Here is a 17458-nt window from a genome sequence, read left to right on the forward strand (position 1 = left end):
TAGATAGATAGCATCAGAATGGAGTTGAATTACAGCAGTGGTCCCCAACCTTTCTGCATCAGGGACTGGTGCTGTGGAAGACAATTTTTTTCACTGAAGGGTCAGGGAGTGGGATGGTTTCAGATGAAACTGTTCCACCTCAGATCATCAGGCATTAGATTCTCATACAGAGTGCATGACCTAGATCCCTCAAATGTGCAGTTCACAATAGAGTACGCACTCCTACAAGAATCTCATGCTGCCACTGATCCGACAGGAGGCAGAACTCAGGCAGTCATGCTTGCTTGCCCACCAATCACCTCCAGCTGTGCAGCCGGGTTCCTAACGGGCCACAGACTGGAACTCTAATTGTTAAAGGACATCCAGCTGATGTCTGCTGGAGAATTGCTTGGTATGTGAGGAGAAACCTCCACACATCTGGTGTTAGAAGTATTGTACTTAACGGTGTATGAGAATAGGGAAAACACTTTGGTTTTTTTTTCCCCCCAATCTCTACAATAGAATAGGCATTTAATAAATTTTTTAAACAGTATGGAAGGTCTAGAACAGCTAAAACCAAAAAGAAATACAGAAAGTTCCATGTGAGAATAGAGCCCTGTAACCCCAGGAAATTCAACAAAGTATATAAAAAGGAGGCAGGTGGGTAGGTAGGTTAGATCTTTCTAATGTTAGGCTCTACACAACCATTGGGCACAGTGATGACTGCAGCTCAAAGCTAAAAGGTAACACATATATGCATGGACACAGTCACTGCCTACCAAGCATTCATTCCCCTTCAGCTGATAAATTTCCTTTGGGGAAAACTCTCTCCTCAATTCACCTGGCTTGAGCAAGCTTAATCTCAACCACATCTACAACTGGCCAATCATTTGACAAGTGTGATAATTCAGGTATACTCATGTGGGCGAAGCCAAACCAATTAAGCCAAATCAGAATAAAGTCAGAGGCTCCTGCTTTAGTTCTTATCTCTCTTCAGATTTACAGCTTGCAGAGTGCAGGTTGGGGCTGAAGTTATATATGATGAGGAGAAACTCTGACTGAGAGCGAAGTCAAAAGGAAGTGGAGACACCAAACCCTGATGATGTCAACTGAGTTCCTGGATCCAGCCTGGGTTTCCTTAGAATTTTCAGTTACATAAGCTAATAAATTGTCTTACTCAAACTCATTTGAGTTGGTTTTCCTGTTCGTAAGTGAAAAGTTATTGATAAGTAAAGGTCTCTTCTCAGTGCAGGAATTTGAAATTGGCAAGCTTGAAGGCCGGGCACGGTGGCTCACGCCTGTAATCCCAGCACTTTGGGAGGCCGAGGAGGGTGGATTACCTGAGGTCAGGAGTTTGAGACCAGCCTGGCCAATATGGTGAAACCCCATCTCTACTAAAAATACAAAAATTAGCTGGGCGTGGTGGTGGGCATCTGTAATCCCAGCTTCTTGAGAGGCTGAGACAGGAGAATCGCTTGAACCCAGGAAGCGGAGGTTGTAGCGAACCAAGACTGTGCCACTGCACTCCAGCCTGGGCAACAGAGCGAGACTGTCAAAAGAAAGAAAGAAAGAAAAGAAAGAAATTAGCAAGCTTGTTATGTTAGAAAGAATATGGGCTTGGGAATTCAGTCAGATCTGGGTTCCTATACCGGTTCTGATACTATATGGGCAACACTGGGCAAGAAAATCCAATCTTCTGAACTTTGACTTTCTCCATTATAAAAACGGAATAATAACCACAACTGTGAATTGTGGTAGAGAATAAAATGAGAATGTAATGTAAAGCATCTAGGCAGAATGCTCCAAAGAAACAATTATTATACAAATGTTGTGAGGCTTCTTAAACAATTATTATACAAATGTTGTGGGGCTCTCCATCATAAAAATGGAATATTTATCATTTTTACTAGAATTTCAGGTATATAATAGTCTATAGAAAAATATACATTTTCCTAATTGTAATCATATTTCTTTTTCCTGTCTTTTTGTACTTATCTAACAAAACAAACAGCAATAAAAAATTATTAAATGGTATTCACCCCAACTGTGAATTGTGAGAGAGAATGAAATGAGAATGTAATGTAAAGCATCTAAGCAGAATGCTCCAAAGAAACAATTATTATACAAATGTTGTGGGGCTCCTTAAAACACTAGAAGTCATTTTATTTATTTTTTATTTTATTTTATTTTATTTTATTTTTTGAGACAAAGTCTCACTCTGTCGCCCAGGCTGGAGTGCGGTGGCGTGATTTTGGCTCACTGCAACCTCCGCCTCCCGGGTTCAAGCAATTCTCTTGCCTTAGCCTCCTGAGTGGCTGGGACTACAGGCACACACCGCTACGCCCTGGCTAATTTTTTGCATTTTAGTAGAGGTGGGGTTTCACTGTGTTGCCCAGGCTGGTCGCAAACTCCTGAGCTCAGGCAATTTGCCCACCTCGGCCTCCTAAAATGTTGGGATTACAGGCGTGAGCCACCACGCCTGGCCATAAGTCATTTTAATTTCGTTCTTTCTAGATAAGATTATCATCAAGAATAAAAAATAAAGTTACTTCTCTGATCTACCTATAGTTAGTTATAGATTAGTTTTTAAAAAATGTATTGGGTAGAGGTTTCAAAATATTACCTCTTCCTGAAAATAAGCTCTTCAAGAACAGAATTCTGTCCCTACGAGTCAAATATTTATATGTGGTCACTTCCTGTTTTTTCTTTCTAAATGACTCCCCAACAAAATATTTACCTTCAAAGTATATACTCCCATTCTACCTGGAACCTTATAGAAGATGCCCTCTTCACCTCTGGAGTTTGTGTGAAGCATTGCATTCAGGCATGCAAGAGGAGAAGTCCCACTGCAAAACAAAGAAGAGATGTGATAAGGAACACAACAATTAATTTCTGTCTCTGAATATCCTATGTAACACTCAAAATAAAATTAATTAGTCAATACTCCTTTGACTTAAACATATCTTATAAACTATAAGAAGTCTACCAATATAGAAAGGGGCTGCCATGGAGAAAATGGATGTAAAAATCATTTCCATGTATCTACAAAATAGTAATTCCTTAATGCTGATCCAGTATCTAACATTTAAGTCAAGAAAAATACAGAAGTATTACAAACATATTTTGTAAACATTCTATTTAGCACAAGCTTTACAAATGTCCAGAGGTAAAATGAGAAAAAAGAACACAAACACACACAGATTCAAATAAACAGTAATAATTCCATTGTATACTGCTGCACCAGACTGAATCTTAATTGTGAAACTAACACATTGCCATTGTCTCTTGTATTCAAACCTATCATGAGATCACTTAAAAAGTTATTAAGTAGGCTTCTGAATATTTATATGTAGCAACTTGGTTAAATGTTTATTAATTCTAATATATATTTATCATCTTTACTAGAATTTCAGGTATATAATAATCTATAGAAAAATATAAAATATAATTAATAATTATACCACAGTTAATTTTGCACCAACCAAATATTTTAAAATAGTGCTATAATACTTGAAGACAATGTTTCTACATCTAAGGAAAATAACAAAATCATTAGATAAAATATCATACTTCACATAAGAAAAAAATTAGGTAGCAAGCAAACACATAGTTCATATGGAAGCAATTAAATGGAAACCGTGGTCTGAAGTCTCTGGAGATGTGTGGCATCCTTAAATGGTTTTTAAAAACTGATCACAATACCTGAGGTTTAAGGCAGTTTAACCCCACATTTCCAGCTCTTTTCCCTCTCAGTTTTCTGTTGATGCTACTCAATAACCAAAAATAAGCCTACTAGAAGAGGCTGTTGGATTCTTAGTCTATCTAAGGAGTTATCTGCTGGGAAGAGCTGGGACATGAGTCCACTGTCTCTTGGTACTGTGAAAGTGTCCAGGGTCGAAAATACAGAGAAGGTTTTCATCCCCCCAAAACATTGGTGAATAATAACAAAGGAAAGAAAAGCCTTTTGCAGAAGAAACTATTGAGCATTTCCAAGTTGATTTCCATAGCTACGTTTATCTGATTTGGATTTCCATGTTAAAAATGTATATAATGTAATTCCAATCAGGATCCCAAAGTTTGTATCAAATAAATATATAAAAATTGCCAAGAAATTTCCAGAAAAAAAATGATGGGAGACTTGCTTAAAAAGATATTAACATGTACTCTTAGCCACTATTATTGAAGTAGTATGTTTCCGAGAGAAAAAAAATCACCAAATGAATACCCTCATAGACTGTTGGTGGAAGAAAACAGAAAATGCAGAAACAGATAATAATTTAAAAGGTATCATTTATGTTTAGTATGAAAAACATGAGGTCATGCCATAGTCCCCTGTAGTTTGACTACCTGGCTTCTGTTCCCTCTTCTTTGGAGACAGTACCCAAAAATTTCCTGTGAAACAACTTTTCTCACTTTCAGTCATGTGGTTGAGAGGGACTGAATCCCATGCCCAGCCCGGGGGTAAATCCTAATTGGTTTAAATTAATCAGCTTTTACACACACACACACACACACACACACACACACACACTCTCCACCCCAAAGAACAGATACATGACTTAGGGCCAAAAATCTATGGAGCTATTTACTTGGGTATATGGGGGGGAAAAAAAACAACCAAAACTTGTTCTCCACGGAATCTTCAGAAAGGGATCCTTTCTCTTCCCTTGTGTGGTATTAGGAAGCAAGGCCTAAAACATTCACAGTCATTGTGTGACCACAAAGGAAAAATCTGGAATTAGAATGGCACAACATACAAGACAGACTGAGGAGTGACACAGTATGAATCGTAAGGAGAAATCCAACACCAAAAAGGGCAGAACTGAGAAAAGTCAGGAAGCAAATTTGTTTTTGTTTTTGAGACAGAGTCTCACTCTATCCCCCAGGCTGGAGTGCAATGGTGCAATCTTGGCTCACTGCAACCTTCATCTCCTGGGTTCAAGAGATTCTCATGCTCAGCCTCCCATGTAGCTGGGATTGCAGATGCCTGCCACCACACCCTGGTAATTTTTGTATTTTCAGTAGAGATGGAGTTTCACCATGTTGGCCAGGCTGGTCTCGAACTCCTGACCTCAGGTGATCTGCCCACCTCAGCCTCCCAGAGTGCTCGGATTACAGGTGTTAGCCACTGCGCCTGGCCAAAATTTTTAAAGTAGTATTACTTTTGCCTGTATCAAGCCTTTTTTGTTTTGTTTTTTGGAGAGACCTGTTCTTTATTTCAAAAAGACACTTGTGTCAATATTTGGTATCAAAAGAGTTGCACTATTGATTTGTCTTTCTCCCAGTTGGCCCCAAAGAGACCACATCAAAGGAGTGTACATTTTAAGCCAATAAGCTGCAGGATGTACACCTAACAGACCTCATTGAAACCTTACCAGAAAATGGGGATTGGGTAGGGAAAGAAACTTTAAAAGATCAGCAAACTGCCAGCCCACACACTGTATAGGCTGTCACAGCCAGACAGGGTGGCCAGGGTGCCACAAACCCAAAGAAGCAAAGCTTCAAAATAATAAAAAACTTTAAAAGTTTTGTACATAAGCTATTCAAGATTTCTCTGATACAAAGTACAATGAGATAGCACTTTTAGAGAGAGCAGCTTCAAACCCAGAAAAGGATAATGAGATGAGTTTCACATGGCTAAATCAGTGGCAAAACATAATCTTTCAAGGAGGGAGGATAGCAATTAAGTGGTCACTGCAACATAAGGGGCACATGATCCATTCTGCAGGCAGTTGAGAGGGGGCAGAGTTGGGACAAAAATTTAGTTTCAGAGGTCTTACCATTTTAATTTGGTCACTTCTAATGAAAAAAAAAAAAGAAATAACATTGTCCAAAGATATCTTAAAGCTGAAAACCTGAAAAGCACATTTTTGTTTTGTTTTTGTTGTTGTTTGGCTAACTCCTCCTGGAATCACCTTTCTGGTTTGGGGGGTACTTTTTACAGAGCAGTGAAATTTCCCATAATGGATTCTTTCCCTGGGCTCTGTTTGGCTCTCAGTAAGGCAGGCCTATACCTTTTCCTCTTCTCTATGGAAAGGGCAATATGCATTAAGCTGAAAAGTCACCTTCCAAAAGTGAAAAAGGAATAGATTGCTGCTTCAGAGCTGTGGAATTATTTGGAATGTTTTACAAATGGTTGCTATAAAACAACAAAAAAGGTATTACAAAATGTGTACATCACAACATGCTTTTAAAGGCATTATGCATTGTGTTCACATTCCCTTAAGTGTTGTTCCCAAAGGTGCACAGCCTCTAGCCCAGCTGGAATCTCTGGGAAGAGGCAGAGACAGTTTAGCGAAAAAGACACAGGGGAGGTGGGGGCAGCGAAAGGAGAAAGCAGCCTTCCAGTTATAAAGGTCAGCTTTGGGTAGGCTGGCCTCAGATGGAATCAGGGTCAGAGGGAGGAGCAGCAGCAGGGTGAGACTGAGGTGCTCTACATCTCATTCAGGTCAAGCAGAGTCTGGTCCAGCATCCTTTGTACAGAGTGCCCCTCTTTGGTACATTTTCAGTTTATCTTCCAAGTCATCAGTTGTCTTTTCCAGCTTGGCTACCGATCTCTCAGCAAACTCAGCACAGGTCTCTACCTCCTTGAGTTTATCAGTAAGAATCTTGATCTCTTCCACGTTTGTCTTCTTTTTGAGAGTACTTTTCTTCAGCATCACTCAGACACTTCAGGTTATGGTCCATCAGTCTCATCTGCTCATCCATCTCTCGGCAATGGGACACTGCCAGCTCAGCTCGTTCCTCTGTGAGTTCCAAGTCTCTTTCAATGACCACCAACTTACGAGCCACCTCTTCATACTTCCTATCTGCCTATTCTGCAGTGTGTTTAGCTTCTTTGAGTTGGATTTCCTGGAATTCCATCTTTTAAGGTCCAGTTTTTAACAACCTTCATATCTCTCTCACTCTGATCAGTAGCTTTTTCCGCTTCTTCCGGCTTTTGCAGGGCAGTGGCCACGTGCTCCTGAGCACAGTCCAGCTCCTCTTCAACCAGCTGGATCCTATGGTTCAAGGAGGCCACCTCAGCCTCAGCCTGTTCCCAGGCGCGCCTTTCTCCTTCAGCTTCTCGCTGGAGGTGCTCAGCTCTCTCCTCTGCATCATCTGCCTGCTGCTGCAGAACCTGGATATTGTGCTTCACTGCCTCAATAGTGGTGATCCCAGCCATGGTGCCCACCCAGCTACTGCTCACACTCCAGATCCTGCCTCCTCTGCTCAGCGTTGCAGCTGCTTCTCACCAGTGTATCAAGTCTTGCCTTGAGCCAGTACTACCTTTGGAATTTTGTTGAGATTTAAGTCACAAGAAGCTGAAAAAGTCCTAAATAAAACAGTTTAGTAGTGCTAGAATATCTCATACATCTGGGGGGAATGTGCACACAGTATATACAAAAACATATTCCAAATGAATTAAAAGCCAAAGGCAAAATATAAAAGATTAAAAGAAAACAGTATAATCTTCTGGGCACTGTGGCTCATGCCTGTAATCCAAGCACTTTGGGAGGCTGAGGCGGGTGGATCTCTTGAGTCTAGTCTGAGCAACCCCTGTCTCTACAAAAAATACAAAAATACACACACACACACACACACACACACACACACACACACACACACAAAATCAGCCATGCATTGTGGCACACGCCTGTAGTACCAGCTACTTTGGAGGCTGAGGCGGGAAGATCACCTGAGCCCAGGAAGTTGAGGCTGCAGTGAGCCATGATCACACCACTGCACTCTAGCCTGGGCAACAGAGTGAGACCATGGCTTAAAAAATAAATAAATAAATAAATAAATAACAAAAGAAAACAGTATAACCTAGAAGACAGAGAAAGCTTTCCACAAAAGAGAAAAACCCAAAAACCACCAAAGAAACATATTGACTGTATAAAATAAAAATTTCTACACAGGAAAAAAATAAAAGCAACAAAACTACAGAAAATATATGAAGCTAGAATAATTAACTGCAAAACATACGGCAGACAAAAGATTAATAGTCCTAAGAAGATATTCTTTAGGAAAACAAATAGCTCATTAGAAAAAAATGGAAAAAAGGACGTGAACAAATGATTCATAAACCATAAATGTAAATTACCAATAAAATGTATAATAAGAAGCTCAAACTTAATAGTGGTTATAAAAAGGCAAATTAAATCAAGATGCCATTGGTCAGATGGAAAGAAAGAAAATGACCCAAGCCATAGTTAACAGTTTTATGCCAATGTCAATTTCCTGGTTTGATATAATATGTATTTATATTTATATTTGTATTTATTTATATTTTTTTGAGATGGAGTCTCACTCTGTCAGCAAGGCTGGAGTACAGTGGTGCGATCTTGGCTTACTGTAACCTCTGCCTCTCGGGTTCAAGCGATTCTCCTGCCTCAGCCTCCTGAGTAGCTGGGATTAGAGGCACACACCACCACACCCAGCTAATTTTTGTATTTTTAGTAGATGGGGTTTCACCATGTTGGCTAGGCTGGTCTTGAACTCCTCCTGACCTCAAGTGATCCACACGCATCAGCCTCCCAAAGTGCTGGGATTACAGGTGTCAGCCACTGTGCCTGGTCTGATATTGTACTATATTTACATAAGATATTACCATTAAAGGAAACTGGATGAACTGTACATGGGACCCTAGGTACTATTTTTGCAATTTCCTGTGAGTCTATAATTATTTCAAAAAAAAAAAAAGGCTGGCCGCAGTGGCTCGCGTCTATAATCCCAGCACTTTGGGAGCCGAGGCAGGTGGATTACCTGAAGGTCAGGAATTAAAGACCAGCCTGGCCAACATGGTGAAACCCCATTTCTACTAAAAATATAAAAAATTAGCTGGGTATGGTGGCGGGCGCCTGTAATCCCAGCTACTCGGAAGGCTGAGGCAGGAGAATCTCTTGAAACTGGGAGGTGGAAGTTGCAGTGAGCCGAGACCGCGCCATTGCACTCCAGCCTGGGCAACAACAGTGAAAATTAATCTCCAAATAACAACAACAATAACAAAAAATGGATTGATAAAATCCATTGCTGACAAGGTTATGGGCAAATAGGCACTCTTACAGACTGTTGAGAGGACAGAAAACTGCTGCCTTTTCCCACATTACTCAATTCTGCCTTAGGAAAGTAATATGGAAATATCCATTAAAACTAAATATATTTGGGACCACTGATGCAACAATCCCACTTGAATCTGTCCTACAAAACCAAGGCCAAAGGACTTAAGGACAAATGTGCAAGGATTTACTCCATCATTGAAAGCATCAAAGCACTGAAAAATGACCTCAAACTCCATTAAGAAGAGAATGTTGACTATGATAATAAAGTAACCAACAGGATAGAAATCAACAACAGCCATGTTGGCAGCTAAAAGAGTGCTAAGTTCCAGGAAGCATTTTGTTTAGTCCTCACAACAATCTATGAGGTGAGCAAAATTATTACACCGTTTTTACAAATGAAGAAACTATAAGTTTTCAATAAGCTGTTCAAGATCATATTATCAATAAATGGTGAAGTCAAGATTCCAGTAACAAGAAGGAAAAGAGAAACAGAACTAGAAAGAGATTACTTTAAAAAGGACATAAAACCAAGAAAAAAAACATTTTCAATAAGCTACCTGGTAAATTTACCCCAATTAATGGTATTCAGTTCCAATATTAAGTACCCACTCTGTTTAGGGCAGTAAACTAGGATTAGTGGATCCACAGAGGGAAGCTTTCTTAGCTTAGAATCTAATAGAGAAGATAGGCAAGGGAGTAAACAGCCACACCACACTGTGACCAGTGCTATTAATATAAACACAGGTCCACAGTCCCTGATCTAAAACACTTAGGCCAAATGTTTCAGACATAAGAATTTTTTGGATTTTAAAAAGGTAACATGATATGCCATAAATGATATGACACTGCCATGGAGATTAGGGACAGCATCCCATAACCAAACACAATGAAACATATGAATACTCACACTAAGATGGATAAATAAAGATTATATACAGTCTCATGTCAGTTCAAGAGAACTGTTGTTGTCAAGTGAGTTTGGTGCTAAATGTATGAGGAAACTTAGTTTTTCAACCACTGCGGATACTGTAATTATGGGTAAGAGACTGTAAAGTGTGTACATAAAGTGCTTTAAGTCAGAGAGAAAAAAAATCAGTCTAGTCTGGCTTAGCACTTAGAAGAGTAACAACAACAAATAACAACAAAACAGTCATTAAAGTGAAACCTATAAAATGAAAGTAAATGGCACACACATCTGGTGAAAAGATGTGGTAAGAATAACTACAAACTGTCGGCCGGGCGCAGTGGCTCACGCCTGTAATCCCAGCACTTTGGGAGGCCAAGGCAGGCGGATCATGAGGTCAGGAGATCGAGACCATCCTGGCTAACACGGTGAAACCCTGACTCTACTAAAAATACCAAAAATTAGCCGGGCGTGATGGCGGGCGCCTGTTGTCCCAGCTACTTGGGAGGCTGAGGCAGGAGAATGGCGTGAACCCAGGAGGCGGAGGTTGCAGTGAGCCAAAATCGTGCCACTGCACTCCAGCCTGGGCGACAGAGCGAGACTCCGTCTCAAAAAATAAAAAATAAAAAAAAAAGAATAACTACAAACTGCCATAATATTTTCCTTGCAAATCTGGATATAATTTTCTTTGAAGGAAACAAAATTTTGAAAAACCTACAAGATATACAGGACACAGTACCATTTAAAACAAAATTTAGGCATGATCTCAGGAAAATACAAAAAGTCAAAGAATCCGGGCAGTTTATTTTTATGAATAATAAAGCAATAGCAGAGAAGCAAAACAGGACACACTACCCATGATGGCTGGAATATATCCTCATGGGAAGGTAGAGCTCCAGAATTCTATAATTAAATAAAAGTGAACGACTTGAAGAAATAAGACATCATCTGCATGGGTGATAAAACCATAGTACTGAGATCAATACCAACTTAAAAGTTCAAGTAAATTCAGTAGGGTAAGTACTAACACCCGAAGCAGCTGTAGTAAGAACCACCTTAAAGATTATGTAACTATCACACAACAAGTCAGCTTCTAATTTTTCTTGTCCATGCTCAAGAGATTGGGGTTGAAGAGGTAGGGGTTCTGTCAAGGAAAGGAACAAGTGCAGTGCTATAATTTTATGCGGTGAGCATGTAAGCAAACATACTAATATGTTTTGTACATAAGGCCCAAAGAACTAAAGTGACTTTGATCATATTGCCAATGGCCCTTTTTAGTTCTCTCTGTAATAAAAGCTAGCAGTAGCTAGTAGGGCTAAGAGAGCAGAAGTCAATCATTGTACTGCTTAGATAAAGCAAATATAGCAATTAATGAAAGGAGTCATCACTGCATGGTAAAGAGCCAGATTTAATGATTCATACCAATCTGAATACAGACCTGACTGTAGCCTGGGCAAGTCACTTTAAACACCCTTAATTTACTCATCTGCAAAATAGAGGTAATACTGCCTACTGTGTAACTCGATTGTACAGATCACAGATAATGTACATACCAAGTATATGTCACAGAGTCAAGATTCAGTAACTACAGCAGTTACTTTACCAACTTACTATCCTACCCTAGTCTGGCAGTGTTCCAGTGTTCCCCATCTCAAGTGATAGGAATCTCACCCTCACATACAACTATTCTCCACTCTGAAGCCAGAGTAACCTTTTAAATATAAATATGATCATACTACCTCCTGTCCAGCTTAAAATTCATCCATATCATAATGTTCTTAGTATAAAGTACAAAATTATCAAAATAATCTGACCTTGACCAAAATAATCTGACCTTGACCATTCTGCTACACACCCTCTCTGCCAGCCTACTCTACCTTTCTTTTCATTTGGTAATTTAAAATTCTTCTGACTACTTGGCCCAACACTTCTGCTTGCAATGATAACCCTCACCTCCTTTTCTCCTAGCAACCTCCAATTCAACTTTTCAGATTTTAGCCTTAATGTCTCTTGCTAAAATAAGCCACTTCTATGTTCTATAAATCCTATACTTCTCTGAAACACATATTTATAACTACATATACTGAAAGGAAAAAATCTGACTCAACTGTAAGCGAGCCAGACTCAGTGATGAGTGATTTTAATGTCTCTGAAAAGTAGAATCTTTCTTCTCTTCTACAATTCAACCCAAAATATCCAGCTCTAAGGCCTGTGAGCAGTCATCTTGCAATTATGATGGATGAGCCTACTGAGAATGGAACAAAATTGAAGGAAGCAGAGCTGAGATACTGATGAAACTGACTGGAGAACTTGGATAAAGTTTTGCCTGTTTTTTTCACTTGCATTAAATGATGAGATTCCTTCAATGTTTAAGCCAGTTTACATCGTGTTTCCTGTCATTTACAGCTGGAAGTATCTTAATAGATACAAAGCACCTACATAAAAGCAATCAAATTTACAGAGATAGGAAAGGGAAAAGAACAACAACACAGGAGAATATTCACAGGTAAACCACTCTCTTCTGTTAACGAGAAAAGATTACCCTTATGCATCAATAATGTATATTACATGATAATGTAAGAGGTAAGATGCTACCCAAATCTGTACAGACTAACCCCAAGTACTCAGATACTCAGAAACATCTAAATTTTTCCTAAATCTTGGCTGGGTGCGGTGGCTCACACCTGTAATCCCAGCACTTTGGAAGACCAAGGTGAGCTGATCACTTGAATCCAAGAGGCGGAGGTTTCAGTGAGCCACTGCACTCCAGCCTGTGCGACAAAGCGAGCCTCCATCTCAAAAAAAAAAAAAAAGTTAATATTTTCCTAAATCTTAAGCGTCAAGGATAAAGAAAGAATCAAACCAGGTTCCAGGCGTTAAAAGCCAAAGTGGCAGCTTGAATTAGTGTTTCCATTTCATCATTCACACCATCGTGTGACCTTGCAGTACGTTACAGTAAGTGAAATATATTTCCCTGCCACAATGATGTTCGTCTTGGCCACAAGGCTTGATTTGATCAATGAAATAAGAGACATGACGGAAGCAGAGGCTAAAATTTGCCTGTTTGGCTGACTCCTGTGATTGACATGAGAGCCAGATTCCAGCAGAAGGAGAGAACAATCCACAGCCTACAACAAAGTCTAGCTAACAATAACTAAGCCCCAGTTAACCTAAAGACATGAGGAAGAAAAAAAGTATTTGTTGTTATAAGCCACTGAAATTTTAAGATTATGCAGCAAAATATTGACCAATAAAGCAAGCACTATATAATGAAGGAAACATTTGCTTTCTTAGCAATACTCACTGCCAAAAGACAGCAAAAAAAGTTCTTAAGAGTATGAATGAAAAATTTTATATCTAGCCTAGATGGCATTCAAACAAAGAGGCAATAGAAAACATTCTTGGCTTGGTGTGGTGGCTCACGCCTGTAATCCCAACACTTTGGGAGGCCGAGGTTGGCGGATCACCTGAGGTCTGATGTTCGAGGCCAGCCTGGCCAACATGGTGAAACCCAGTCTCTACTAAAAATGCAAAAATTATCCAAGCATGGTGGTAGGCATCTGTAATCCCAGCTATTTGGGAGGCTAAGGCATGAGAATTGCTTGAACCCAGGAGACGGAGGTTGCAGTGAGCCAAGATTGCACTGCACTCCAGCCTGGTTGGCAGAGCAAGACTCTGTCTCAAAAAAAAAAATTCTTAAGCCCGCAAGAACTCAGGGAAAAGATCATCCATAAATGTAAAAATTCTAGCTGATGATGAAATCCAGCCAAAAAGAAATGCACCAAAGTAAACAAGGAATGGAGAAACTATTTTTTGGAAAAAAGTGGAATACATTTGCAATTAGGTAACATATAAGAAACGTAAATGTTTTCTACTTTTTTCAACTTTCATTTTTAAAATGACAATACACTTTCAGAATTTTTCTATTTTGTTTTTCCTCAACTTCAGAGATCATTTAGGAATTAATATTACCTCACAGTGAAGAAACTAAAGCCTAGTAACTTTCTTGGTCTCTTCAATTAAATGCAATAAACAATGGTTATTCCTACTTAAAAGTTTTTCAGGATATGTTCTTCAGTGTACATTTTTTTCACTGATTAATTTAATTTGGGTAGGGGGTTATCAGGCATCATTTCTACAAGAAATATTGAAGTAAATAGTCCGGAAATATACAAATAAACTATTAAAACAAGGAAACTTCTGAAAGACAATAGAGCTCTTTTTGAAAATCACTTTGTCACAGGGCATGCTATTAAAAACAAAACAAAAACTAGAACAGCAGGTAAGAGGGGAAATTGCATACAGATGGAAATGAAAGACTTTCACTTAAAAAGACACACTGAATAGCAAGGTACTTGTTCACCAAGTACAAGATGATACACTGACAGAGAGTGAGAACCCCAGATGCCCACAAATACAAAGAAGGGGATGCCTATACATAACATTCAAAGATCAAGAGACAAGCCAAAGATGAAGCTGAGAAAACTAGTGGTTTTAGAATGAGTATATTTAGATCATATCACCAAAACTTTTAATCATTTAAGTTACATGGTAATGATTTTTAGGGGAAAAATTAGCTCTTCACTTAAAACACATTAATATAAAAGCATTTTCAGCATTTTGATGGTAACTTGAAAGTCTGTTACATCAAAGTATATTTTCAAATAGAATTTCAAAGGCTTTGCAAACCTATGATAGAATGGCTCACCTGTTAAAATTTATCTTTCATTTAGAGTATATTTGACCAATGACTTACTATACCTCAAATCCTGTTTAAAAATCCATGCTGGGCCACGCAGTGGCTCACGCCTGTAATTCCAGCACTTTGGGAGGCCAAGACAGGTGGATCACTTGATGTCAGGAGATCGAGATCAGCCTGGCCAAAATGGCGAAACCCCGTCTCTACTAAAAATACAAAAAACTTAGCTGGGCATGGTGGCGGGCACCTGTAATCCCAGCTACTCGGGAGGCTGAGGCAGGAGAACTGCTTGAACCTGGGAGGTAGAGGTTGCAGTAAGCCGAGATCATGCCACTGTACTCCAGCCTGGGCGACTGAGTGAGAGCTCATCTCAAAAAAAGAGAAACCCATGCTAAAGACTTCTCTAAATGCTGTTCTTGGAGGAATTAAATTGCTACTTACCCTAAAGCAATAAATGACTATAGCAGAAATAACCCAAAGAATAAGAATCCATGAGGTCATGCTAAGAATAAATGAACAAATCAACGAGTGGGGGAGAATTCCTCACAGTAAAATTCCAACAAAAAATATATATATATACCAAGATTGACAGAATTAGAAAATCACCATATGCGGCAACAGTGATAGGAAGTTTCAGGTAAGATTAGTGGATGCTGTGGTAGACAGACCTAAAAAGGCTTCCAGTAATCCCTGCTTTGTGTACTCATGGCCCTACATAATTCCTTCCCCTGTAGTGTGGGTAGGGCCTGTAATCAGCTTCTAATAATCAAAAAAGAACAAAGGTAAAGGGTCTCACATAAGTGACTATTTCACATATGACTGCAGTGTCCTCGCTTGATGACTCTTCCTTGCTGGCTTTGAGGAAGCATGTGGCCATGTTGGGGAAGGCCACAGAACTCAGGACAGCCTCTAGCCAAATGCCAGCTAAGAATCCAGACCCTCAATCTGATAACCCACAAGGATTGAATCTTTCCAACAACCACATGAGCTTGGAAGCTGATCATTCCCCAATCAAGTCTTCAGGTAAAAACTCAGCCCTGACCAACGCTCTGCTGCATTGCCGAGGATCAGGTAAAGCCGTGCTCAGACTCCTGACACATAGAAACTGAGATAATAAATGCACTGTTTTAAGCTGCTAAATCTGTGATAATATTGTTAAGCAGCAATAGATTAATAACATGCTAAAATTAGTGGGCAAAGGTACAATGAGAAACAAGATGTTTACAGAGTCTCAGAGTATCTTCACCCCAAAATACTTACTAATTACAAAGGGGAAAAATGGTATCTTTACAGTGAAGAAACAGTAGACATTGCATAAACCAAGTAATCACAGTTACCATCACTAATACTGTGGTACACTGAAATCATGGAATCCAGATATATTATGGTAAAAATGTCCTATCGATCCTGTGACACTCCTGCCAAAACTGCACAACTTAAATCTAATCATAATTAAACAGCAGAAATAAAAATTGAGAAACAATCTGCAAAACAGCTGGCCTGCACTAAAAAAAATGTCTAGTCATGAAAGATAAAGACTGAAGTACAATTCCAGATTAAAGAAGAGTAAAGATACATGAAAACTAAATGCAAATACAACATGTGATCCTGGATTAGGACATCAGTGGGAGAATTACCAAATCTGGATAAAGTCTGATTAGATAATATTGTGCCAATGTAGATTTCCTATTAACTATTTTACCCTGTAGTTAAAGAATGTACTTGCCTTTAGAAAATATATTCTGAAGTTTGCTTGCTTGACTGACTTATTTATTTATTTATTTATTTTTAGACAGGATCTTGCTCTGTCCCCCAGGCTAGAGTGCAGTGGTGCAATCATAGCTCACTGCAGCCTTGAACTCCTGGGCTCAAATTTAATTCTCCTGCCTCCACCTCTAGAGTAGTTGGGACTACAAGTGTGCACCACGATACCTGGCTAATTATTTTATTTTATTATTGTATAGAGACGGGCTCGCTTTGTTGCCCAGGTTGGTCTTGAACTCCTGCACTCAAGCAATCCTCCCACCTCAGCTCCCGAAGTGCTGAGATTATAGGTGTGAACCACTGCATCAAGCCTACTCTGAAGTATTTAAAAGTGAATGGGGCATTATGTCTACAATTTATCCTCAGACATCTCAGAAACACAAATTAGACAGATGTTAACATCTGGAGAATCCAGATAAAGTTTATATAAGAATTCTTTGTACTACCTTTGCAACTTTTCTAAGTCTGCAATATACCATATAAAGTTAAATAAATGTATATGATTTTTAAAAAAGTAAGTATATGAGAAAAGTCTATACAACAATTTGGACCAATGAAAAGAAAGAAGTACTGATCAATGCTACAAACATGATGGAATTTGGAGTTTATGATTACATATTATATGATTCCATTTATATGAATGTCCAGATATGGCCAAACTTACAGAGACAGAAAGTAGATTACAGGCTGTTAGGAGGAGCCAGCATTACCCGTATCCAGTATGAGAGATCTCACTGGAGTGATGAAAACATTCTAAAACCGGATTATGGTGATAATAGCACAACTCAGTAAATTTACTTAAAACCATTGAACTGTGCACTGAAAACAGGTGGAGTTTCTGGCCTGGTGTGGTGACTGGCCCAAAATCCTAACACTTTGGGAGGCTGAGGTGGGAGGATCGCTTGAGCCCGGAAATTTGAGACCAGCCTGGGAAACATATGGAGAACTTGTCTCTACAAAAAATGTAAAAATTAAGAAATCAGGCCAGGCGCGGTGGCTCACGCCTGTAATCCTAGCACACTGGGAGGCCTAGGCGGGCGGATCACCTGAGGTCAGGAGTTCGAGACC

General features: G+C 39.3%; 1 protein-coding gene and 1 pseudogene across 2 annotated transcripts in view, besides 1 other annotated feature; both read right to left on the reverse strand.

The window, feature by feature from the left end:
- The window catches only part of ASXL2 (ASXL transcriptional regulator 2), a 144735-nt gene that overhangs the window by 69760 nt on the left and 57517 nt on the right, over positions 1-17458 (reverse strand). For both annotated transcript variants that reach the window (NM_018263.6, NM_001369346.1), the window contains one exon: positions 2717-2825. In NM_018263.6, the coding sequence (NP_060733.4) occupies positions 2717-2825 (109 nt within the window). The remainder of the gene's footprint in view (positions 1-2716; positions 2826-17458) is intronic.
- TPM3P7 (tropomyosin 3 pseudogene 7) lies at positions 5176-7215 on the reverse strand (annotated as a pseudogene).
- Positions 14118-14297: an enhancer, noted in NCBI's record as "active region_15464". NCBI's record gives its function as "activates an Ori minimal core promoter by ATAC-STARR-seq in GM12878 lymphoblastoid cells {active_cell/tissue: GM12878}" and the evidence as "EXISTENCE:reporter gene assay evidence [ECO:0000049][PMID:35858748]".

Source organism: Homo sapiens, chromosome 2 (genome assembly GCF_000001405.40).
Source record: "Homo sapiens chromosome 2, GRCh38.p14 Primary Assembly".
In the NCBI taxonomy this organism is placed as follows: Eukaryota; Metazoa; Chordata; class Mammalia; order Primates; family Hominidae; genus Homo; species Homo sapiens.